At 39.6% G+C, this 26,961-nt stretch overlaps 1 protein-coding gene across 5 annotated transcripts in view; it reads right to left on the bottom strand.

Annotated features, from left to right (window-relative positions):
* Positions 1-26,961, bottom strand: part of ARHGEF26 (Rho guanine nucleotide exchange factor 26) — a 136,823-nt gene that overhangs the window by 24,081 nt on the left and 85,781 nt on the right. For 3 of the 5 annotated variants that reach the window (NM_001251962.2, NM_015595.4, NM_001251963.2), the window contains exons 10-11: positions 15,787-15,876; positions 7,735-7,889 (exon numbers count right to left, since the gene is read on the bottom strand). In NM_001251962.2, the coding sequence (NP_001238891.1) occupies positions 7,735-7,889; positions 15,787-15,876 (245 nt within the window). The remainder of the gene's footprint in view (positions 1-7,734; positions 7,890-15,786; positions 15,877-26,961) is intronic. The other 2 variants (XM_011512672.2, XM_047447954.1) reach the window with 1 other exon arrangement.

Here is a 26,961-nt window from a genome sequence, read left to right as displayed (position 1 = left end):
ACCATTATTTCTCTTTGCATGTATACAGAATCTAGTGACACTGAGCAACTGTGAATCCTGAAACTCTATCTTCTAATGCCTTCTGTGACATTTCTAAGTCATTCTTCTTTGGGGACACTCTCCAAGATCCTCTTCTAGACTGTCGTGCATTAAATCCCTCTGAGGAATTTAATGGCTCTGACATTCCCCCCCAGTAGCACTGATACACAGGAGTTAATGGGGTTTATGAGATCAAAGGAAATTCTTCCTACTTTCCTCCAATATATGTATGAGAAAAAGTGTTCTGTAGATTTCAACTTGTTTCCCTTCTCCTTCTAAAAAACATGATTCCTAAACCGTCGCACTTGATCGTGTGTTTAAATGGAACAGAAACACTCTAGTCAAACTTTGCTGGGATGAAGGACATTGAATTTATGCTGAAATTTATTTTAAGTCAAGGAGTTAAAAATTTTTTTTCACTTGACTGAGGTTGATTTCCATTTCAATTTGGTTTTAGAATTATACTACTAACATGTTTTTAGTGGAATAATATACAATTTTAAAGGAATGAAATATGGCACAGCAGGTAAGAGTAGAGCCATGATTTGGAATGTCTGGTAAGAAACCCAATTCTAGGCTGGATGCAGTGGCTCACACCTGTAATCCCAGCACTCTGGGAGGCAAAGGCAGGTGGATCACGAGGTCAGTAGATCCACACCATCCTGGCTAACATGGTAAAACCCCGTCTTTACTAAAAATAGAAAAAAAAAATTAGCCGGGCGTGGTGGCAAGCACCTGTAGTCCCAGCTACTCCGGAGGCTGAGGCAGGAGAATCGCTTGAACCCAGGAGTTGGAGGTTGCAGTGAGCCGAGATCATGCCACTGCACTCCAGCCTGGGTGACTCCGTCTCAAAAAAAAAAAAAGAAAGAAAGAAACCCACTCACTCACTGGCTTTGTGAACCAAAGCAAGTTACTGATCCTCTCTGTGCTTCAGTTTTCTCATCTGTAAAGTGGGAATAACAGTACCAACTTGACTGGATTGTTGAGAGGATTAAATGAGATAATACATTTATTACCTCATTGTGTGTAAGGCACTTACAATCATGCCTGACTTACAGTAAATGTCAGCTATTTTTTTTATTTTCTTAACAGAACGCCATCCATTTAAATTGCCTGACATTTTGTTAAAAGCCTGATAATTATATGTTTTGCAAATGCACAAGTGGACCAAGCATAATTAGAGCTAAATACCCATGTCAAGAAATCCACAATTTGGCAAGTGCTCAGACCAGCAAAACAAGGCACAATATTTATCCAGAAACTGATTTCAAATAGGCTTACTTGCTCAGTTCCTCAAGCTAATTCTGAAGTCTAACAAACATGCCACATACATCCTATTTCATTGTTAATAATATAACAAATAGTGGAGATGAGGATCCCCATTCATCAGTATGACTGCCACCAAAAAAGATGGCCAGTGACCCAGAAAAGGGCCAGGAAGCCCCATCCCTGTCACCAAGGGTCACCAGATGCCACAGCCCAGCACTTCTGTGGCTGCTCATGGGATGCTCTGAACCCATAGTCCTTGAAAAAGAGGAGATGGACAGTTCTGAGAGGCTGTCACCACCTTTCTGAAGCTCTCTCCCTGGGATAAGCTGAACTAAGCAAGCCCTGAAGAGCAGGCACAGCTTCTTAAGTGGGTAACAAGGTTATCCAAATTATACAGCAACCCCACACTCCAATTCAGGAGTACCACACTACTGACGACATCAATAAAAAGGAAAAATATACTATTTATTTCACATTTTTCAGCAACAATGTTATAGTGTCTCCTAGTCATTTAGGAATAGTGAAAAAAAAAAAAAACTGCTACTACAACGTGTACACATGATTTACACCAATTTATAAAGAATAAAAATTGACCAATAGTTTTTCCTCACTCACTTGCCGCCTGACATGGGTTTCATGAGGAGGGAAAGGCATAGAGTTAAAGGCATTTATTCCTAAACTGCTCATGTTCTGGAGGCCATAAATTCATGTCTGGTCCTAGAGCGTGCCGTACCTTCAGCTATGTAGCAATTACGTAAAGGTTTAAAATCATTTTTTAAAAACAATAAAATATTCTAGAAGCAGAAGGGCAATAATTTGATTTACGGCAAAATCTTTAGAGAGAGAACACAATACCAAAAATAATCTTAATGATAGCATGTATCAGTTACTTAGCAGGACTATTCATATTCACTGTAGTAAGAGCTTTATGTGCATTATCTCATTTAATTCTCACAGAAACTCCATGATGAAGATGATGTTATTATCCCCATATTACAGATAGAACACTGAGGCTCTGAGAGACGAGAAGTAATTTGCCCAGGATTTGAGCTCAGTTTTCTGACCCCAGGCATCGATATTGTGCTTCTCAGTAGTGGCAGCTTTCAACATTTAACAGCAATGCCAACTCTCCTTACAGATGCAGGGGAAACAATACCTCATAACATCAGAGGAATCAAGGCTGCAAATGACAGCGGAAGAAAAAAAGGAGCAAAAAGGAAACAGGGCTCCCATTTCTTTTCCACCCCATCTTGCCATCTTGAATTTAGAACTCAATTCCAAAATGGTCAGAAATAAGCAAGCTTCATGTGTTTCAGGAACAAAGGAGCTTGCAATCATTTTTACTGCCTTTCCTTTAGCCAGGATACTCTTGACTTCCCTAGGAACGAGTTTATTCTGCAGATGAAACAGGTATCAGGTGATTTTCAGCTTTCTATAATAGGAAAGAGCATTCTCATGGAAAAAGCAAAAAATGGAACCAAACCAGGCCATGAACCTTTCAAGGGAGCCTGCACAGCTTTGAGCCACTGGGTGTTCAAACTATTTGGGAAAATCCAAATTTGAACTTAAGTCCTTGACCTTATGATAATGACCTAGTAGTTTGCTATTACAGAAAATTTTATAAAACCTGAAAAAAAAATTAAAAATTTTGAAAACCTTTTTATAAAACCTAGAAAGTTGTAACCAGGGCTCAAGCTATACACAGTATTTATGGAACCAGAAATCAGGAAGTAGAAATCTCCTGTCTTAAATGTCTGCAGGAAGGAAATGTTAACAAAGGGAAACTCTTCCCCAGATTCTGATGCTAGATTAGCTAATGGCAGAGGAAAACTCACAAATATGATTTGGTACTGGTTCTAGTTTTCTCCTACAACCAGTAAAACTATAAAAATACTCAACAAAAGCTTACTTTGGAAAAGATGTTTCTCCAAACAAACAAAAAAGTTGTAAGTTTCTATGCTTTTTTCCCCCAATAACTTTATAGGATGAGGGGAAAAGTGAAATATTCTAGAAAAATAAAATGAAGAAGTAATGAACATAAAGAAATTGAGCCTCTGGAAACAAAGACTCAGATTAGAATCCTGGCTCTGCTGAAAGACCTTGAAAAAGATATTTTATCTCTCTTTTCCTCAGCGTCTTCATCTGTGAAATGGAAATAATCCTGGCCTCCAGAACTGTGAGACAATAAATTCTGACTGTTTTAAGCCACTCACTTTGTTTGTGGCACTTTGATACAGCAGCTGTAAGAAACTAACACAGTAAGGAAACAAATACAGGAAGGAAAATTTTGCTTTCAGCTTCAGGTGATATTGGTAGAGAAGACCTAAGCCAGATAGAAGGGACTATATCTTACAAAATAAATCTTTTAGTAGCTTGAACCTAGTTAGATCTTGGATTCAGTTTTGTATTTCAAAACTAGGAACAACAGTATTTAGACCATAGGTTATACATGAAGGTACAGTCTGTAATTCATCTTTATTATAATAAGTTATCAGTAGGCACATATTGGATATTATAATGTTATTTGTTAATCTATGAGTATAACTTGACAATAAATTACTTTTATAATACAATATTACTATTCTTGCTGTGTCAGTCTGATAGATTTTCACACCTTCACTACTCCAAAGGCAAAGCTAGTTTAGTTTACTACCATGCTAGTATAGTGGTTGTCAACTAGCAGGGATTTGCTCCATGGGGACATTAGGCAAAAACGTCCAGAGACATTTTTGGTTGTCGCAACTAGGGTGTAAGGGGGCTGTTACTAGCGAACAGTGGATAGAGACGAGGAATGCTGCTAAAACATCCTACATTATTGCACAGGACAGTCCTCTACAACAAAGAAACATCAGGCCCCAAAATGTCAATCGTGCCAAGGTTGAGAAGTCTGCTCTTGCAGTACCCAGATAACTTCTAGTCAAAGCTTCAAATACCAAAGTGTTCATGTCCTCATCCCTCATCCAGAGTAATCAATCATGTATCCTTTTGAAATCTGGTAGAACCAGGCTATTAACAGAGTGACTCACTAGCAGCCAGGGCTAATGAAAACTTTAAACTTTCTTGTAAAGAGAAAGGCACATGCCCACAGCCCCAGCTACTCAGGAGGCTGAGGTGGAAGGGCTGCCTGAGCCCAGGAGTGTGAGGCTGCAGTGTGCTATGATCATGCCTGTGAATAGCCACTGAACTGCAGCCTGGGCAACATAACAAGGTCCCGTCTCTAAAAAAAAAATTAATAATTAAAATAAGCTTGTTTTTAATGTTCTAAAAAAGTGAAAATTCCTGTCACAAAGACAGTGTCATGGCCACTCATCAAGCCAGCTTTACAAGCACAAGCAGTGATACATGCACTGTGAAGTGGAGGGGGTCCACACACCTCAGCAATCTATGGAATGTGCCCAGTATAAACCTTCTGCCAGTCTGGATCGGAGGAGGAAGAGTAACTGTCCTCCCGAGCAGCTTTTCTCAGTAGCTGAAAAACCTCCCTGAAGAGGAAAACCACTGGAAGCCCAGCTGCTAAGTTCCTTGACTGAAACCTGGAATTAGAATTAGGCAGTGGGTGGCTAGATCAGTCCTCAAGCGCTGGCACAGGTGATTTTCCTTTATCTGTAACTTGTGGCCAAGCCTAAATTATCGCCTTGTTCAGGGTTGTTGTATCTCCTTTACTGTTGCCTCTGGCATGCAAAGCATTTGCAGTTCGCCTCCTTGAAGCTATCATGTAAATACGGTCAGGCATAGTGTACATTTTTAACCAAGTCTGTTTATGAAGCTTCTGTGGTTTGCATGTAACCTCACCACATATTCAGGTCATAAACAATTAGGTCTCCAATACTATTACCTAAGAACACCCTAGAAATATAATGAACTAATTGGTAAGGCAAAAAAAAAATTCTAGTTTTGGTAAAGGCCAAGTTAGGTACTCAGGTTGTCCTCTCCATTGGAGCTGTGTATCTTGCTCTTAAAAAAAAGAAAAAGAAAAAAAAGAAAAAGAAAAAAAAAAAAAGGCCAGGTGCGGTGGCTCACGCCTCTAATTCCAGCACTTTGGGAGGCCGAGACAGGCAGATCACCTGAGGTCAGGAGTTCTAGACCAGCCTGACAAACATGGAGAAACCCCATCTCTACTAAAAATACAAAATTAGCCAGGCATGGTGGCGCATGCCTGTAATCCCAGCTACTCAGGAGGCTGAGGCAGGAGAATCACTTGAACCTGGGAGGCAGAGGTTGCAGTGAACCAGAGATCATGCCATTGCACTCCAGCCTGGGCAACAACAGCAAAACGCCCGTCTCAAAAAAAAAAAAAAAATTCTCAAAGACTCCCAATGGCATTGCTCTTTATTAATAATACAAGTTCAAATTTACCTGAGCAAATAAATGTGGGATAGCTAGGAGAGCAACACCATCTGTGAAGGGCAAAGTACGCTACTAAGTAGAAGAGCATATACCTTAATTCTGACTTTCAATAGTCTATATTTATTGAGTAGGTCTGTGCAAATTCAAGAACAAAAGTTGCACTGTACTGGTTTAAATACCTTTAATATTTTCATTAAGTCACCAAAGTCATCATAATCGAAATTACATTTATATTTAAAATTGGCTTGGTACTGTCAGTGTACATTTTACCATTTAAATCAAATTTTAGTTAAAGCTCTTGGTCTACTGAGACAGAACAAATATTTCAACAGCTGGAAGATGTTAAAAGTCAAGAGTTCTGGCATTTGAAGAGACATATATAACTACTCTCCCCTAAAAACAAAACATCCTGGAGAAAGCCAAGGAAAAATGCTATCTCATAGGAAACCAACAAAACACAAAAACATAAAAATTATAATTCTTCTCCCATCTTTCTTTATAAAATTTACGGCTGGGCGCAGTGGCTCATGCCTATAATCCCAGCACTTTAGGAAGCTGAGGCAGGCAGATCACGAGGTCAGGAGATTGAGACCATCCTAGCTGACATGGTGAAACCCCATCTCCACTAAAAATACAAAAAATTAGCTGGGTGTGGTAGCGGGCGCCTGCGAGAGGCTGAGGCAGGAGAATGGCGTGAACCCGGGAGGCGGAGCCTGCAGTGAGCCGAGATCACGCCACTGCACTCCAGCCTGTGGGACACAGCAAGACTCTATCTCAAAAAAAAAAAAAAAAAAAAATTTTTACTTAGCTGCTAGAACTATTTAGACTACTCCAGGTAAGAGAAGTAATTTCTCCTTGGAGATATGGAAATAGAATTTTCCTAAGTATGAAAAATAATGATCAGCATTTTAATGTATGTATCATTGTCACATTATGGCTTCTCAGGGAAGACCATACTAACATTTCATTTCAGCTAGACAGCCACTCAGCTGAAATAATTCATAATATGGTCTGATTAAAAGGAGCAAAAAGAAGAACTCAATCTGTTTTAATTTAGTTTGAATTTTCAAGCTATAAAGTCAGCAACTCAGAACTAGCATTTAATTAAATATGCCTGATACATTTGGACATTTATTTTGTATTTTCATAGAGATCTGTTTCTATAATTCTCTTCACCTTGCCTAAATTGCACCCCAGGACCACCCCTGATCCCACCATATGCCATCAATTCAGGCCACCATCATTTCCCTCATATGTGGAAATAACAGCCCACAGATTTAAGTTTTCACTCTAAGTTCATATTCTAGGAAAGACGGAATATTTACATAGGACCTTACATGTGTTGGGTGCATTTAATAAAGTATGTTCCCTAGAGAAAGGCAGAGCTGAAGGGGTGTGTGTGTGTGTGTGTGTGTGTGTGTGTGTGTGTAGAACAGAAACAGTCTGACAGAAGAAATACTGGAAAGAAAAGGTTTCTACAATATTCTTCATGGACATCTCACCAGAGCTGGACACAAACACAGAACTAGAAGCCTGGAGTAAGAAGAACAAACACTCTGCCAATCAAATGATTTACTTCATTCCCTTCAGAAGGGAGTATGGCTAACACCTTCCCAGTCACAGGGGAATGTTTTAGACTAAGGATCATTAAAAGCAGTGCATTTTAAATTAAGTTAAAAGGAGCACTAGAGTTGCTCCCCAACCTGTTCTCAACTGGACCAACTTTTTTCTGTTTTACACAAAAATTTTATGGTAGAAGGAGTCTGAAAAACACAGAATGAGAATAAAAACAGTGCTACCTTCTCAGGGATATCATAAGAATTGAATGATATAAATGTGTAAAATGCTTAGAACAGTGGCTCAATAGAGGTTGGCAAGAATTATGATGCAGATAATGATTCGTCTGAAACTACATAAGCAATTTAAAGAAAATGAACCATAGATGCAATTATGATTCAGTATGTAGAAACTATACTTCCAACATTTCTAGCTTTTAAAGGATGATCACCCTAACAGGCATCTGAATTACAGAACTTTAAAACTGGAATGTCTAGTCAGCAACACCAGATAAAGACTTACCTCTTCTTCTTGGTGATAATGAGCACATCGTTAAAGAGAAAGAAGTAGACTTGCTGTTTGGATGTCCTTCTTGAGAAAAGCACAGTGTCTTCAACATAGGCTGTCAATTCACCTCTTTTTACCAACCACCGGGAAGAGGAGACTAAAGGAAAAGGCTACAAAAGGAGAAAAACCCAGTGACCAAAGCTAAATTGAAATCCTTTTAAGTTTACTGAAAGTAAAAGCTAAAACGTACATTCAAACAAATGATACTTATCATAGTATGCATCATTGTTTTATAGGCATATAAAACTGAACTATAAATACAGAAGTACAGTGCATTCTTCAAGAAAAAATGAAAAAGAACAATATATCTTCCACTATAAAAAACTATTAACTTCCCAATATGAAACTAAAACTCAATGAGAAAATGTTATTGGATCAATAAAAAATTATGACCCTTCTATTAACTCTTAACTGAAAAAGAAAGTAAGGAGTTATTTACAATTGAAAAGCCTAGTAATAAAATATATCAGAATCAACTAGTTATTTTAAATATCTCAAATCAGAATCTAAACATACAGAAAAACACAACTATAGGTTAACGAGACAAATATAAAAGTCTACATTTACTTCATGAAGTAAAAAGGTTTCTTTCAAGAGAAAAAAACCTACATGCTTATTTTTTTGTCTACAAATTATCTATTTAGCCATATTCTTGAGAACACCTGTTCTTAAGATCATGGTAGCTTGCTTCATGGAAGTTTGTACCTGAAAGCATCATACTACTTTCTGGCTGTGAAAATGAGGTTCTTCCAAAATAATCCATCATAATCATTATAATATCATAGAAAAGGCTGTATCCAAAAAATTACATACTGCTTTTTTATTTTCTTTATTCAGTCTTGTACAAGCCAACTGGAAAACTCTCAAAACTACAGAACAATCCTTACCCTTGAAAGCTTTTTTTTTTTAAGTTACCAGAAATGTTTACTGCCAAAACTCTGATTTAAAAGACTACATCCATAAAATAAGCAAAAGTTCTTGGACACACAAAACATAATGCAGAAATGTGATGCAATCAAACATCACCCTTTTCAGGAAATAATGATTAAAAATAGCTAAAGGAAATTGAGGATATTAGAGAGGAAATGAGAAGGCTAAGAAAGGATTTCATATTTATTTTAAACTTTATAAAGAGCTTTTATAAGAAGGTTGCTTATCATTTATATACTATTTTCCTGAAGGTCCAAAAAACGAAGATAAAAGATTATGGCTAACCCCAAACTTTTCAAAACTGGCTGCTAAGGGAGTTTATGAAGTTCCCAACCCCCAAAATCTCGAAATCAGACAATTACCCTACAGAGACAGCTGAAACCTTAAAGGTCGACAGATTGCTTAGATAACTCCGGCAGACTAGGCAGCACATACAAGAGGTCACCTTGTGTCAGGGTAGGTCCGGCTGAAGGGCCGGAATTACAGGAAACACAGGACTATCTTGCTATTGCGTATAACCCTACAAGATGAACCAAGGACAATATTATGGTTAAGTTTCAGTGCACATGCTGCCCTGTGACTGTTCTGATTTAGGGGGTGGAGAAAGAAAGATTTTTAAATTGTTTTATTGTTTTTAAAGCAGATTCATTTTTATGGAGTCCTCATACTCCACTAGGGGCAAAACTAAATTTCTACCTATAAACACCTAAAATTGACAAAAGCTTTCAATACATCTATGCTTCTTTTGAAAACAAAAGCCCAACATTTTATATATAGTTTATGTTTCAGATTTATTGTTAGAAGACTGAACTCAATCAGATAGGTTTTATTAAAGAAGAGATATTAAAATGATCCAAATAAAGGAAATCAGAACAGCCCAAAGTGAGCATGAGTGAATTCCCCTAGTAAGGAAATGCTGAGACTAGAATCCATGTGTGAACCAGAAACTAGAAAAGAAATTCATGAACAAAGATATATCCTAAATAGTACTGAAATACTATCCTAAATAGTACTGAAATAGTCTGTGCCTATGGAGCACAGACATTTCATTTTTTTTTTTCTATTACCTGGCATCCTAGAAAGCTAGCCTTGGCATAAAATGTAACTAATTTTATGGGGCAGCAAGAAAAGAGAGAGCTGCTGAAGAGCAAATAATTTTTTTAATGTTGAGATAAAATTTACATAACATGAAATTCACCATTTCACCACTTCAAAGGGTGTAGAATACAGTGGTTTCTAGTATGTTCATAATATTGTTCAATAATCAACATTATGTAATTCCAGAGCATTTTCATTACCTCAAAAGGAAACCCCATATGCATTGAGCAGTCATCTGCCACTCTTCCTCCCCCAAGCATCTGGCAACCACTAATCTACTTTCTAACTCTATGGATTTGTCTATACTGGATGTGTCATATAAATGGAATTATACAATATGTGATCTTTGAATTTGGTTTCTCTCACCTAGCATAACATTTCCAAGGTTCATCCACAAGGCATGTATAAGAACTTTATTCCTTTCTGTGCCTAAATATTTTACTATATGCATATATCACATTTTGTTTATCAATTCATCCGTTGATTTGGGGTATTTTCACTTTCTTGGCTATTATGAACAATGCTGCCATGAAGATTTGTGTATATGTTTTTGAACATCTCTTTTCAGTTCTCTTGGGTATATACCTAGGAGTGGAACTGCTGGGTCATATAGTAGTAACTCTTATGTTTAGATTTTTGGGAAACTAACAAACTGTCCTCTACAGCACAAAGATTTTTCTTGGATTTCCATTGTTAGCAAGGCCCCCAAATGGCAACCAGCAAAGCCTTCTGTCAACTAACATACCACCACTCCACTCAATCACACTGAATGTATGTCTCCTAAAGCAGCCTGAGAAACCTCAACTTCTCCATGTGCTTATTCATAAGGTCAAACTTTCCATCGCAAGACAAAAAAACAAAATTCTTCCCAACTCTGTAGAGGCAACTTTTAAAGAAAGCTGTTTTCTAGTGGAGAAAAAACACTGGATTTGAGACACAAACTAATCTCTGGTTTTCGATCTTCTTGGTTTAGTGACCAGCTTTTTCTCTACAACCATCATTTTCTTTCCTCCCATCTCAGAGGATAAGCTCTCCTGTCTTCAACACCCTGTTTTCAGCTCTAAGGCCTTATTCCCTTGATTTATTCCCCTCTCATTAGTATTCTCTCCCTCCTGGCTCCCTTTCTGCAAACTATCCTGAAGACTATTCACAAAAAATGGTCCCTTGACTTTGTGAATCCTCTAGTTATCATCACTGCCCTATCCTCTTGATAGTCAAGCTTCTGGAATGAAAAGTCTAATCTGCTTCAACTGCTTCACATCCCACTCACTCTTCAATGCACCCACATCTATTTAACTACTCTGATAAAACACATCAACAATGTTTGCTGCTTGTTTACTATAAATCAGGTCTATTTAAACCCTTTATATCTCTTAAATAATTTAATTTTCAAAATAATTCCATGAGGGAAAGTACTATCATCAGCTTCACTTTAGGGTTCAGAAAACCAAGACATGAAAAGGTAAGTGATGCCCAAGGTTGTACAGCTAGTAAGTGGTGGAGCTTCTACTGCAACTCAGGCAGGTCAGTTCTGGAGCCTGTGCTCTAACTTTACACTAGCTTCCAAAGTGCCAATCCAGGGATGCTTTCCATCTCCTCTCATATTACTGCAGTTTAGCACTTGACAGTCTTCCAGAAAATCATAAGCAAAATTAAAAATAAAAAACGTGTGAAATGACAATGAAAAACACACACACATGCCCTACAAAATTTACTTTCCTCCAAATTAGAAAAATATCCATATTATCATTATCATACAGTCATTGTTAAGAATGTGGACTCTGGAGTCAAAGATTTGAATCTAGACTTTATAACGTCTTGGTGTATAACCTTGAGCAAAGAATTTAATCTCTCTAGTTTCAGGTTCTTCATCTATAAAGTGAAGTTAATAATAAGGGTACATTATAGGGTTCATGTGAGAATTAAATCAGATAAATGTGAAAATGGCACTACTTAGTAAATTTGCAACCAATATTCTCATAGTAGTAGCACCTATGGCCATACCATAAACCAAATATGGCCAAAATAGAACTCATTACCTTCCCCCAAAACTTGTTCCTCCTCCTGAATTTCCTATCTGAGTGAGTGGGTGGCTCTCCACCCAGTCAACCCGACAAGGCCCACTCCCTGACCACTGCCCCTCACGGGTAATGACCAATAACTAGTTTCATCTGCATCTGTCCAAATATTTCATCTGCAAAAGCAAACTGTATTTTTTTATATCTAAACCTTACTTTTTTCATTTAATAATATATAAGAAAGCTTTCCATATAGGTATCTAAAATTCTCCTTTATTCTTTTGAGTGGTATCACATTATTTGCGTATACTATAATTTATTTAATTAATCCTCTTTGATAGATATTTAGATGTTTTTCCTCATCTTTCACTATTACAAACAACACTATAATAATAGCTCAGTGTGTGTTTAATTTTATACATTCATGAGTACATCTGTAGAATTCTTAGAAGTAAAATTGCTGAGTTGTAGTAACTTGCATTTGTAATTTTGATAGTTATTGCCAAATTGCACACCATTGGGGTAAAACAATCTTTCCCACCAGCAACATATAAAAATGCCTTTTTCTCCAATTCCATCAATAAAATGGGGTATCAAACTTTTGAATTATTTATAAATCTAAAAGGTGAAGTTCATTATCTTTATCTGCTAATCTTCAATTAGCAATTTTCCTCTGAGTGAAATAAAGCATCTTCAAAACTTTGTCATCATTTGGATTTCCTTTTCTGGTAGCAGTTTTCTAATTTGCAACTTTCTAGTGGTTTTTTTTTTTTGTTTTACACAACAGGAATTTATGTCTCACAGTTTTGGAAGACAGGCCAAGATGAAAGTGTCAGCAAGGCCAGGCTCTCAGAAGGTGCTAGGGAATAATCTGTTCCAGGCCTCTCCCCCAGCTTCTGGTAGTTTGCTGGCAATCTTTGGTGCTCCTTGGCTTGTAGACTAGTGGGTCTTCTCTTATCATTTTGATTTTATACATCGGGGATATTTACCCTTTGTCTATATGTGAGTTGCAACTATTTTTTTCTCCAGTTTGCTATTTGCCTTTTCACTTTTTTCATGGTCTTTTTCCCTCTATAGAGAAATTTTTTAAAAATTTATATAGATTAATTAGGACTTTTTTCTTTTAATGACTTCTGGATTTGGAGTAAGTTGGAAAAGCCTTTCCCCATTGCTGAAGTTGTCTTTACTAAACACACATCTGATTGCTTCACTTCCCTGCTTAGAACTTTTCGGTGGCTCCCAAATGACCTCACTCAGCTCCTCCTCTTGGTACACAGGGCTGTCCGCAGGAGTGTTTGCCTGCTACTGTAGCTCCACCCTGCTCCTCTTGCACCCCAAGTCTACCCACACTGAATGCTTACAATTCCTGGGCCACAGGAGTGGAAACTGTGCATTTGTTTCTGCTCTAAGGCCCTTCTTAACTCACCTTTCAAGATTCAGGTCAAACACACCTCTGGCATTAAGCCTTGCCAGACTGCTCCAAGTCCCCCAGCCCTCTCTGTCTCTTGCTCTTAGAGTTGTCCATCTCCCTTCCATTTCCAGTATTTTCCATAGTCTTCTAGCTACTGTGACAGCTGTAGACTTTGCTGACTCCTTTGATTTTCAGCAGTCTTCTACTAGACTATGAGGGGAGGGATGATCACGTTTTTATCTACTGCCTTCCACATGGAAGATGCTCAGTAAATCTGCTCTATTCTTACAATACTTGCCATGTACTTGGATAAATCATTTAACCTCATTGAACCTCTATTTTATCATCATTAAAATAAATTAAATAGAAATGTCCACTGTTATTCATATAGTATTATAAGGTCCTAAGATTTTACGAGTATTTCCAATTAGTAATAATTAGTAATTCTAAGTGTTCTAAATGAGGTGCTCCACTGTAAATCCATACTTTATGCTCGCAAATATTTTAATCATTGAATGAAAACAACCAAAACTCAGGAACTCAACTGATGTTAATCACTTACTTTTTTGTTTGTTTTTTGTTTTTTGTTTTTTTTGAGACGGAGTCTCGCTCTGTCGCCCAGGCTGGAGTGCAGTGGCACGATCTCGGCTCACTGCAAGCTCCGCCTCCCGGGTTCATGCCATTCTCCTGCCTCAGCCTCCCGAGTAGCTGGGACTACAGGTGCCCGCCACCACGCCCGGCTAATTTTTTTGTATTTTTAGTAGAAAAGGGGTTTCACTGTGTTAGCCAGGATGGTCTCGATCTCCTGACCTCAGTTAATCACTTACTTTTAATGATCCTTGGGGTTAGCATTTTTCAATTACAAATTAATTTTGGGTACTGGACAGAGTTTCTTTTTCTTTTTCTTTTTTTTTTTTTAAGAGTCTTGCTCTTTTGCCCAGGCTGGAGTGCAGTGGTGAGATATCAACTCAATGCAACCTCTGCCTCTTGGGTTCAAGCAATTCTCCTGCCTCAGCTTCCCAAATAGCTGGGATTACAGGTGCCTGCCACTACACCCGGCTAATTTTTGTATTTTTAGTAGAGACAGGGTTTCATCACGTTGGTCAGGCTGCTCTCGAACTCCTGACCCCAGGTGATTCACCCACCTCGGCCTCCCAAAGTGCTGGGATTACAGGCATGAGCCACCTCGCCCGGCCTAGACAGAGTTTCTTAAAGTAATCTTATACCAAGTGACTTTCAGTGAAGAAGGGAAAAGAAAAATGGTTAGGGAATTTTTCATCTTTCAAAAGGAGGAAATTAAAAAACAAAAAACAAACTTGTCAGATATACTTTCCAAAATATTTAGAAACAAATTAGAGAGAACGAGATTCTGAGAGTTGGGAGAAAGATGGGTTTTTTAATTGCTATAAAATTCTGTACAAGAACATTAAAACTATTTAAAGTGTGCGTGCATGCATGTGTGTGCATGTGTGTCTGGTTTTTGGCAAATACCCATCTTCTTCCCTTTTACAGTTTGTGTTTCTGCATCTAAACCATTAGAGTCAGAATGTTACAGTAGAAGAGTTTACACTGACCTGCAAGTCAGGACATCTAGACCTTAGTCCTGATTTTATCACCACTAGCCAAGTGACTCTGCTGACAATTATTCTCTGGGTTTCTTTTCCTCATTCATAAAATAAAAGGGTGTAGCTGGACTATATCAGTGATCCTCAATTCTAGTATATATGCTGCCAAAGCAAGCATGCAGTAATCCTCAAACTACATGACATGGCAGAGAATCTGCTCTTTACAGAATACCATGAAATGCTGATCACTATAATTTGACTGCATGAAATAGAAACACTTTTACTAGGGAAAAATATGACCAGTCATTTAAAATTGTTTAATTACATTTACAAGTTATAAAACAATAGAGTCACAATCGTGAGCACTCACTTCCCATTAAAAACTCAGCCATGAGCCAACAAAAGAATGGCCATGACCTAGATTTGCCATTAGCTGTCATTTTCTTCTTTTTTGTTCATCTTGTCATCTGCTCAAGAGCAGTATCAGACAAGGAATAACAAGCAGCACATATTCAAAAAAATTATGAGAGAAAAACAAACTTGAAAAAAATTATCCATTAACGATCTGTTTTGTAAACGAGAAAAGGAGTGTCCTTATTTAATTTAGGAGAACACTGGTCCAGCTCATGGAATATTACTGTTTTTCAGAACATTTTGAGAATAATGAAGGAATCTCCTTTCAATTCTAAAATTCTATTATTTTAACTACCCTATTCTATTATTTTATTTATTCCCCTAAGCTTGGTGTCTTCCTGGAAAAAAAAAAGTGCTTCTTAGATAATGCCTGGCTTCAGGGCCTGGAGGAAGGTCACTCTGTCTGGTACAAGCAAAAGCAAAATTGCCTGAAGCATCTGCTACTCCCTCTTAGCAATTTATGACCCTTCTTTGAAAAGCAATTTCCTATCTACTTTGTTGCCCTCAACTGTCTCTCTCTATTTAGAGAAAAACATAGGCAAGAACAGTAATGAACAAGGTACGAGAATACCTTAATTTTAAATTCCAGCTGGGAGTTAATTGTGTACATCATCTCAGTCCTTTCCATCTTCCGGGCGCCCTCATTGCATAGTCGAACCAACTGGGAACACAGAAGAGTAACGAGGGTTAAAGGTCAAGGAGAGAAACCTCACTTTCAAAAGCAGAACTCTCACAGGAAATAATTACCACTTGGGAAGCCCTAGAGATTCATTTCTGACAGAGAACTCACAGTTTTTCACAGTTAAGACATTCGTATCCAGTTAGAAGTGGTGTGATTAGGATGTGAAGACAGAAGGGAAAAAAAGGTCACCCTATCTCAGGGAAAGCTGCAACCCTCGCCCTTCTTCCAAATCAGAGCAGCTGAAGGGAGATGGCCAACCTCAAAGGCAAAATCTAAGCAGAGTGCTGTGTAAAGCATGTGACCAGTAAACAAGTGCTGAAGCTTCTGCACAGCAAAAGAAACTACCATCAGTGTGAACAGGCAACCTACAAAATGGGAGAAAATTTTCGCAACCTACTCATCTGACAAAGGGCTAATATCCAGAATCTACAATGAACTCAAACAAATTTACAAGAAAAAAACAAACAACCCCATCAGAAAGTGGGTGAAGGACATGAACAGACACTTCTCAAAAGAAGACATTTATGCAGCCAAAAAACACATGAAAAAATGCTCATCATCACTGGCCATCAGAGAAATGCAAATCAAAACCACAATGAGATACCATCTCACACCAGTTAGAATGGCAATCATTAAAAAGTCAGGGAACAACAGGTGCTGGAGAGGATGTGGAGAAATAGGAACACTTTTACACTGTTGGTGGGACTGTAAACTAGTTCAACCATTGTGGAAGTCAGTGTGGTGACTCCTCAGGGATCTAGAACTAGAAATTTCATTTGACCCAGCCATCCCATTACTGGGTATATACCCAAAGGACTATAAATCATGCTGCTATAAAGACACATGTACACGTATGTTTATTGCGGCATTATTCACAATAGCAAAGACTTGGAACCAACCCAAATGTCCAACAATGATAGACTGGATTAAGAAAATGTGGCACATATACACCATGGAATACTATGCAGCCATAAAAAATGATGAGTTCATGTCCTTTGTAGGGACATGGATGAAATTGGAAATCATCATTCTCAGTAAACTATCGCAAGAACAAAAAACCAAACACCGCGTATTCTCACTCATAGGTGGGAATTGAACAATGAGATCACATGGACACAGGAAGGGGAATATCACACTCTGGGGACTGTTGTGGGGTGGGGGAAGGGGGGAGGGATAGCATTGGGAGATATACCTAATGCTAGATGACGAGTTAGTGGGTGCAGCGTACCAGCATGGCACATGTATACATATGTAACTAACCTGCACAATGTGCACATGTACCCTAAAACTTAAAGTATAATAAAAAAATAAATATTTTGTATAGACATAAAAAAAAAATAAAAAATAAAAAAAAATAAAAAAAAAAAAACAAGTGCTGAAGAGGGAAGTCTTGCAGGGGAGCCTAACAGTGAAGGATTCTTCAACAATAGCCAAGCTAAGGCCATCAGTTAAATTTGTTTCACTAGAAGCACTAAATTATCTATAAAGCAAAATTATCTATAAAGGACTTTCACAGTCGTTTAATGAGTACCTAATCTTAATTCACTGGTCTAAATCAAAACAAATTTTGCATCTCAAGTATCTCATTAACTGGAAAATCTGGAAAAAAAAATGCCCATATTAGAGTCATTTGCCATAAAAACAAATGTGATTGTTAAAAGGACTGGAAATTTTAATTGGATTTATTTTTAATAATATAAACATACCCACTATAAAAATAAATACTATAATATAGAAGTAAATAAAATAGGCCATAAAAGGTCCTGACCTACTCCCACTGCACAGATGTAGTTGGAAACAGACTGGGTCATACACTTTCTCTTTTTTTCCTATGTTATATATGAACATATAAATACACACATATATGTACAGAAATTTTTCTTTTTTGGAAATGATCATTCTATGCTTGTATGTCTTTTTTCTTTTTTCACTTATCAATTATTACAGACTAAATGTTTGTGTCTCCCCCATATTCATGTTGAAATCCTAACCTCAGTGTGATAATATTACGAGGCAATGTGATAATATTGGGAGGTTATTAGGTCATGAGAGTAGAGTCCTCATGAATGGGATTAGTGCCCTTATAAGAAGAGACAGGATAGCTTTCTTCTTCTCTCTGCTCTCTCTCCACCATGTGAGGACATAGGGAGAAGGTGGCCATCTGCAAACCGGGAAACCAGCCTTCAGCAAACACTGGTTCTGCCTATATCTTGGTCTTGGACTGCCCAGCCTCCACAACTGTGAGCAATAAATATCTGTTCCTTAAACCACCCAGTTTATGGTACTCTGTTACAGCAGCTTGAATTAAGACAAAAATATTTCCCCTTCTAAAATATTATTCATTAAAAAAAAAAGTTTATTTAGTGCCTACTATGTTTCAGGTACTAGGGTTATAATACTTACAATCCCTAACCTCACGGAAGGGCAGACAAAAGGCAAAAAAAAAAAAATCACAGACTGAGATCATAAAGTAAAAACACAGGTGAGTAGGGGAGTGGGAAGTGGGGAGGGATCCAAAGGACCCTCTCCTGAGAGGTCATTTAAGCTGAAAGCTGAAGGAGAAGTAGTTACTACTAAATGATAAGATGGTTCACAGAGAAGGGACACCATGAGCAAAGGATGAGATGAGAAAGTGTGTGACTGAGTGAGTCAAAGAAGATCCTGGCATGAAGGAAGGTGGCATGGGATGAAGCCAAAAGAGATAGGCCACGGTTAGATCATGCAAGGTCTTAAGGTGTCTGGATTGTATTCCAGGTGCAAAAAGAAAGTCACCAGCATGCTTTCAGTGGGGGAATGACATGATCCAATTTATGCTATAATAATTATATGGACTTTCCCCAATATATTTATTCTATTTCCTATTAATGGGCACTTAAACAATTTCTAATTGCTCACTTGGTTTTTAGATTTAGAGGGCAAACCTGTCTTCAATGACAGCATATCTTTAGCTGTGGCCTGTGAGTTCACTGATGCAGGGATTGATAGCTATATCTGATCAAAGCTAAGAGCCAAAATATCTAGGTGTGAGACAGGAGCAACCTGAAACTGCAATACCCTGAAAGGAACAGGGCATATCAGGGTGAAACCCAAGCACCATACCAGGCTCCTGCTGCTTGGGACATTTTTGTGACTTCTCCTGGGGAATGTGTTCATAGCTCCCAAATCTATGTTCCCAGACTTTGTCTACATCCTAGGCTCTGATCCAACTATCTACACGGCACCTCTTCTTAAATTTCCCAGAGCCATTTCAAATTCAGCATGACCAAACCTGAGCATCTCCTTCATCACGCTCTTGTCCCTGGCTCCACACTGTCTATCCTGGTGACTCAACTCAGCATCATCCACTTTCCTCCAAAACTTGGCCCTCACCACTCAGACCCCTCCCTCTGCTTTGCCCTCCACATACAATCCAAGTCTCCTTAATGATGCTGTCCTGCTGTTCACTTCTCTCTACCTGCCCTGGCCACTGAACTCAGGCTCAGACCTCTTGCTGCCTGGATTACTGGCTGCTTAATTCTTTTCCTCACTTCTGCCCTACCCTTATGAGTCCTCCAAAAATAAGATGTCAGTTTTTCTAAGTTCAGATCTGATCATGAAACAACTCCACTAGAAATCCTTAAAAGGCTCCCTGAAGCTTTCAGAATAAAGTCTTAGCAAGACCCTTCATGATCTGGTGCCTACTTCCTTGATCCCTAACCTCTCACTGCTCCCATGTGGGGCCTCGGCCCTACCAAATGTTGGATGCATATGCTGTGTCCCACCTTCCCTCTTTTGCATGTGTGTTTCCCTGTCTGAACATCCTTCACCCCACTCTGTCCGACTGACTCCTTATCTAGATTTATATCCCCCTACTTGTCTTTCAGTGCTCAATGTGGGCACTACCTCTCCAAAAAGACTGGAGAGCACAGACTATAAAATTTCTGTAATTGTAAGCCCAGAGCCCAATATAGCACCTAACGCCCAATGGGATATTCTGCAAATGTTTCTGCATAAACAAACCACCTTCAGAGCCTATTTGTAAGTCATTTTTAAAAAAAAGAAACAATTTATTCATAGTTATCTTCCCGTCTTTTTTTGTGGAGATGGGGTCTCACTACATTGCTCAGGCTGGTCTTGAACTCCTGACATCAAGTGATCATCCCACCTTAGCATCCCAAACTGCTAGGATTACAGACATGAGCCAGCACACCAGGCCAATAGCTATCCCTTCATAAAATGAAAAGAAAAAATGGCATTATTAAGTTTGGGTTATCTTATTTCTTAAACTTCCAAATTCTGAGCCCATCAGCAAAAGCTGGAGTCATGCCACCACTAGGGAAATCCTAAAGAAACCAAAGGTGCTTCAGAAGTCAGACCAAACACAAGATTCCCAAGATGTCTTAAGCAATGGTGCATCAATGGAGTTGATTTTAATTAGTATTTTGAAGGGACAAGCATTAATTTGAACATACATGTTCTGCTGTTTTTATTGAAAGCAGCCTCAGTATATTACTGTACCTTCCTTCAATTTATGCCAAAGCTTTATTAAATTTGGTTCACTAAAGCTTTTGTCCCAGGCCTAATAAATATATATTAGGCCTGGAACAAAAGCATATATATATATATACACACACACACACACACACACACACTCTCTCTCTCTCTCTATGTTACTCGTAAAGAAATGTAAATTAAAACACAAAGTCTTTTTGATCCATCAAATTAACAAAGATTAATAGAATATCTGATCCTGGCAGTATGCAGTAAGATAGACACTCTGAAATACTACTGGTGGATGTGGACATGAACTTTTCTAGAAGGCACTTTGGCATTATATACAAAAGAATTTAAAACATTCTTGTGTTTTTCTTCCCATGAACCCACTTCTGAAAATTTATCTTTAGAAATGGTTAGATGTGCACAATCATTTAGGTAAGACAATGTTCAATGGAGCACAACTTAGAATGTTAAATGAAATAGGTACCATATATACCATGGATCCCCCACCCCCAGGGCCATGGATTGGTTAGGAATCCAGCGCACGGCAGGAGGTGAGTGGAGGGCAAGTGAGCATTACTGGCTGAGCTCTGCCTCCTCCTCCTGTCAGATCAGTCACAGCACTGGATTCTCATAGGAGTGTGAACCTTATTGTAAACTGCGCATGTGAAGGATCTAGGCTGTGTGCTCCTTATGAGAATCTAATGCCTGATGATCTGAGGTGAAATGGTTTCATCCCGAAACCACCTACCACCCACCTACCCCCCAGCCCCCCACCCGTCTGTGGAAAAATCGTCTTCCATGAAACTAGTCTGGGGTGCCAAAAAGGTTGGAGACCACTTTTAAGTGTTCCTTTACAGTCATATGCTAATATTGGAACAGAAAGCCAACCAGAAGGATACAAAATAGAATGACAGTAGTCACCTTTAAGTGATAAAATTACTGATGCATTTTACTGTCTCTTAAGTTTTCCAAATATTCTGCAATGTACACTTATTATTGTATCCAATTTTCCCTTTTTTTTTTTTTTGAGACAGGGTCTTGCTCTGTCGCCCAGGTTGTAGTACAGTGGTGTGATCATGGTCACAGGGTCTATCATGGCATGATCAACAACCTGGGCTCAAGCAATCCTCCCACCTCAGTCTCCCAAGTAGTTGGAACCACAGCTGTATGCCAGGCTAATTTTTTGATTTACTGTGGAGAAGAGGTCTCACTATGTTGCCCAGGCTGGTCTCGAACTCCTGGGCTCAAGCAATACGCCTACCTCAGCCTCCCAAAGTGCTGGGATTATAGGTATGAGCCATTGCACTTGGCCACTTTATGCACTGTTAAAATATACCAATGTCAACTTAAATACGTTCTTACAGAGCTGTACTTAGCCTTATTACTTCCTCCCTTCCAAACTCTCCTCCCTTTACCACAGCTAACAATGGTTGAAAGTGTAATGTGCATGATTCTGGGACTATTTCTACATATCAATAAAATACACACACACACACACACATATATATATACACACACACATATACATTATTTTCTAGGTGTCATTATACTATTTATATTGTTCTGCAACTTAATTTTCTGCACTGACCAATACAGCTTGTTTGCATGTTAAAATATATATATTGGCCCAAGGCCAACTAAGATAATGGAATAGAAGACTCCACTGATCATCCTCCCCACTACCCTCTTCAAGGACACCAATTTAACAACTATCTACACAGAGAAAACACCTTCATAAGAACCAAAACTTAGGTGAGCTCTCAGTACCTGGTTTTATCTTCGTATTGCTGAAAAGAGGCACTAAAGAGATAGAAAAAACAGTCTTGAATCCCTGATGCCACCCCCCACCCACCCCCGTCTCCTACAGCAGCGGCATGTTGCAGAGAGCATCTCTGGGCACTGTGGGAAAGAAAACACAGCAATTGTGACACACTGAACTCAATGCTGTCCTGTTAGAGCAGGAAAAAAAAAGACCAAACTCAGCTGATACCCATCCATGGAGGGAGCATTTAAATCAGCCCTAGTCAGAAGGGAATCACTTATCCCAGCAGTCTGAACTTGAGTTCTCACCACCAAGGCCTACAGCACTCTGTGACTCTCAGTGAACTTGAAAGGCAGTTTAGGCCATAAGGACTGTGACAATTAGGCAAGTCCTAGTGCTGAACTAGGCCCAGAGACAATGGAATGGGGGCTCACATGACATACTGAGACACCAGCTGTGGCAGCCAAGTGAGTGCTGGCAAGCACAGCTGGGGCTCCAAAAGAGACCCCTTCCTTCTGCTTGAGAAGACGAGAGGAAAAAATGGGAAGGGCTTTGTCTTGCATCTTGGATACCAGCTCAGCCACAGTGGGAGAGGGTAATGCTCACTGTTGTGAGGCCCCCGTTCCAGGCCCCACCTCCCAGACAAATTTTTTTTTTTTTGGTGGGGGGACAGACTTAATCTGTCGCCCAGGCTAGAGTGCAATGGTGCGACCTTGGCTCACTGCAACCTCCACCTCCCGGGTTCAAGTAATTCTCCTGCCTCAGCCTCCCAAGTAGCTGGGATTACAGGTGCCCACCACCACAACCAGCTAATTTTTTGTATTTTTAGTAGAGATAGGGTTTCGCCATATTGGCCAGGCTGGTCTCAAACTCCTGACCTCAGGTGATCCGCCTGCCTCGGCCTCTCAATGTGCTGGGATTACAGGTGTGAGCCATTGTGCCTGGCCCCAGACAACGTTTGTAGACATACCCTGGCGCCAAATGCAATTGGCGGCCAGGTGCAGTGGCTCACGCCTGTCATCCCAGCATTTTGGGAGGCCGAGGTGGGCAGATCACTTGAGGCCAGGAGTTTGAGACCAGCCTGGCCAGCATGGTGAAACCCCGTCTCTACTAAAAATACAAAAAATTAGTCAGGCTTGGTGGTGAGTGCCTGTAATCCCAGCTACTTGGGAGGCTGAGGCATGAGAATCGCCAGAAGGGAACCTGCTGCCTTGAAGAAAAGAACCCAGTCCTGGCAGTATTCAATACCTGCTAACTGAAGAGCCCTTGGGCCCTGAATAAACAGCTTGGATACCCAGGTACTATGCCGAGGGCCCTGAGTCAGCCTCTGAGACTTCCTGGATTCAGGTACCAGCATGGTCACAGGAAGGTAGAACACCAAGCAGGCTCCTGGGGTCCCCGACTCCAGGACTTGACTTCTGGATGGCATTTCTGGACCTGCCCTGGGTCAGAGGGGAGCCCACTGCCCTGAAGGGTGAGTCCCAGGCCAGGCAGCATTCACCACAAGCTGACTTAAGAACCCTTGGATCTTCAGGGAACATCAACAGTAGTCAGGCAGTACTCCTTGTGGCCTGGGGTGGTGGTGGCTAAAAAGAGAGGCTCCCGTCTTTGGAAAGGGAAGGTTAGAGTGGGAGGAACTGCATCTTGTGGTTTGAGTGGCAGCTCAGCCTCAGTACAACAGAATGCCAAGTAGACTTCTGAGGTTTTAGACTTTAGACCGTTTGTGAACGGTACCTCTCGACCCACCTGGGGCCTGGGGGACCTCCCTGGCCTGAAGGGAAGGACACAGGCCTGGCTGGCTTTGCCGTCGACTGACTGTAGAGCCTAAGGGCCTTGAGTAAACAGGCAGTAGCCAGGGAGTGGTTAGAGCAGACCTTGAGCGAGATCCAGCACTGTGCTGGCCTCAGGTCTTACCCGGCGCAATCATAGTGAGGGTGGCCACAGGGGTGCTTGTGTCACTCCACCCTCATCTTTAGGTGACTCAGAACAAAGACAGAGGCTATGTATCTGGGAGACAGTAAGGGAAGAGAACAAGAGTCTCTACCTGGTAATCCAGAGAATTCTTCCAGATCTTAGACCATCAAGGTGGTACCTATATGAATCTGCAAGAACCACAGCGTTACTGGGCTTTGGGTGCCCCTAAAGCAGATACAGCTTAGATCACAACACCCAAGTTCTTTCACATGTCTGGAAAGCCTTCCCAAGAAGGATGGGTACAAATAAGCCCAAACAGTGAAGACTACAATAAATATCTAACTCTTCCATGCCCAGACACAAAGAACACCTACTAGCATCAACACCATCCAGGAAAACATGACTTCACCAAATGAACTAAATAAGGAACCAGGGACCAATCCTGGAGAAACACACATATGTGACTTTTCAGGCAAAGAGTTCAAAATAGCTGTGTTGAGGAAACTCAAGGAATTCAAGATAATACAGAGAAGGAATTCAGAATTATACCAGCTAAATTTAACAAGGAGATTGAAATAATTAAAAGAAATCAAGCAGAAATTCTGGAGCCAAAAAATGCAACTGGCGGCCAGGCACAGTGGCTCACGCCTGTAATCCCAGCATTTTGGGAGACCGAGGTGGGCAGATTACTTGAGGCCAGGAGTTTGAAACCAGTCTGGCCAGCACGGTGAAACCCCGTCTCCACTAAAAATACAAAAAATTAGCCAGGCATGGTGGTATGTGCCTGTAATCCCAGCTACCTGGGAGGCTGAGGCATGAGAATCGCTTGAATCCGGTAGGCGGAGGTTGCAGTGAGCCAAGATTGCACCACTGTACTCCAGCCTGGGTGATAGAGTGAGACTCCATCTCAAAAAAAAAAAAAAAAAAAATGCAATTGGCATACTGAATACTGCACCAGAGTCCTTTAATAGCAGAATTAGTCAAGCAGAAGAAAAAATTAGTGAGCTTGAAGACAGGCTATTTGAAAATACACAGTCAGAGGAGATAACAGAAAAAAGAATACAAAATGATTAAGCATGGCTACAGGAGCTAGAAAACAGCCTCAAAAGGGAAAATCTAAGAGTTATTGGGCTTAAAGAAGAGGTAGAGAAAGAGACGGGGTAGAAACTTTATTCAAAGGGATATAACAGAGAACTTCCCAAACCTAGAGAAAGATATAAGTATCCAAGTACAAGAAGGTTACAGAACGCCAAGCAAATTTAACCCAAAAAAGACTACCTCAAGGCATTTAATAATTAAACACCAAAAGGTCACAGATAAAGAAAGGATCCTGAAAGCAGCAAGAGGCTGAGGATAGCGGTCACACCTGTAATCCCAGTACTTTGAGGGACCAAGGCAAGGGATCACTTGAGCCCAGTTTTTGTTTTATTTCCAACGTTTATTTTAGCTTCAGGGGTATGTATGCCCAATATGCAGGTTTGTTACATAGGTAAACATTTGCCATGGTGGTTTACTGCACAGTTCATCCCATCACCCAAGTATTGCCCAGAATCCACTAGCTATTCTGCCTAATTCACTCCCTCCTCCCACCCACCATCCTCCAATAGGCCCCAGTGTATGTTGTTTCCCCCTTGTGTCCATGTATTCTTATCATTTAGCTCTCACTTATAAGTGAGAACATGTGGTATGTGTTTTTCCGTTCCTGCATTACTTTGCTAAGGATAATGGCCTCCAGTTCCATCCATGTCCCTGCAAAGGACATGATCTCATTCTTTTTTGTGGCTGCATAGTATACCATGGTGTATATGTACATTTTCTTTATCCAGTCTATCACTGATGGGCACTTAACTGGATTCCATGTCTTTGTTATTGTAAGTAGTGCTGCAATGAACATACATGTGCATGTGTCTTTATAACAGAACGATTCCTATTCCTTACGGTGCATACCCAGTAATAGGATTGCTGTGTCAAATGGTATTTCTGTTTGTAGGTCTTTAAGGAATCACCACACTGTCTTCAATAATGGTTGAACTAATATACACTCCCACCAATAGTGTAAAAGCATTCCTTTTTCTCCACAACCTCACCAGCATGTTATTTTTTGAATTTTTAATAATAGCAATTCTGACTAGCGTGAGATGGTATCTCATTGTGGTTTTGATTTGCATTTCTCTAATCAGTGATGTTGAGCTTTTTTTTTATATGTTTGTTGGCTGCATGTATGTCTTCTTTTGAGAAGTGTCTGTTCATGTCCTTTGCCCGCTTTTTAAAAGAGTTATTCTTTTTTCTTGTAAATTTAAGTTTCTTATAGATGCTGGATATTAGACCTTTGTCAGATGCATAGATTACAGAAATTTTCTCCCATTCTGTAGGCTGTCTGTTTACTCTGTTGAGAGTTTCCTTTGCTGTGCAGAAGCTCTTTAGTTTAATTAGATCTCATTTGTCAATTTTTGCTTTTGTCACGACTGTTTTTGGCATCTTCATCATGAAATCTTTGCCCATGCCTATGTCCCGAATGGTATGACCAGGTTTTCTTTCAGGGTTTTATAGTTTTAAGGTTTACATTTAAGTCTTTAATCTATCTTGATTTTTGTATATGGTATAAGAAAGGAATCCAGTTTCAATTTTCTGCATACAGTTAGCCAGTTCTTCCAGTACCATTTATTTAATAGGAAATCCTTTCTCCACAGTCTGTTTTGGTCAGATTTGTTGAAGATCAGATGATTGTAGGTGTATGGTCTTATTTTTGGTTTCTCTATCTATTCCATTGGTCTTTGTGTCAGTTTTTGTACCAGTACCATGCTGTTTTGGATACTGTAGCCCTGTAGTATAGTTTGAAGTCAGGTACTGTGATGCCTCCAGCTTTGTTCTTTTTGCTTAGAATTGCCTTGGCTATTTATGCTCTTCGT

Source organism: Homo sapiens, chromosome 3, assembly GCF_000001405.40.
Source record: "Homo sapiens chromosome 3, GRCh38.p14 Primary Assembly".
NCBI classification, from domain to species: Eukaryota; Metazoa; Chordata; class Mammalia; order Primates; family Hominidae; genus Homo; species Homo sapiens.
This window is presented reverse-complemented; position numbering and strand designations above follow the sequence as displayed.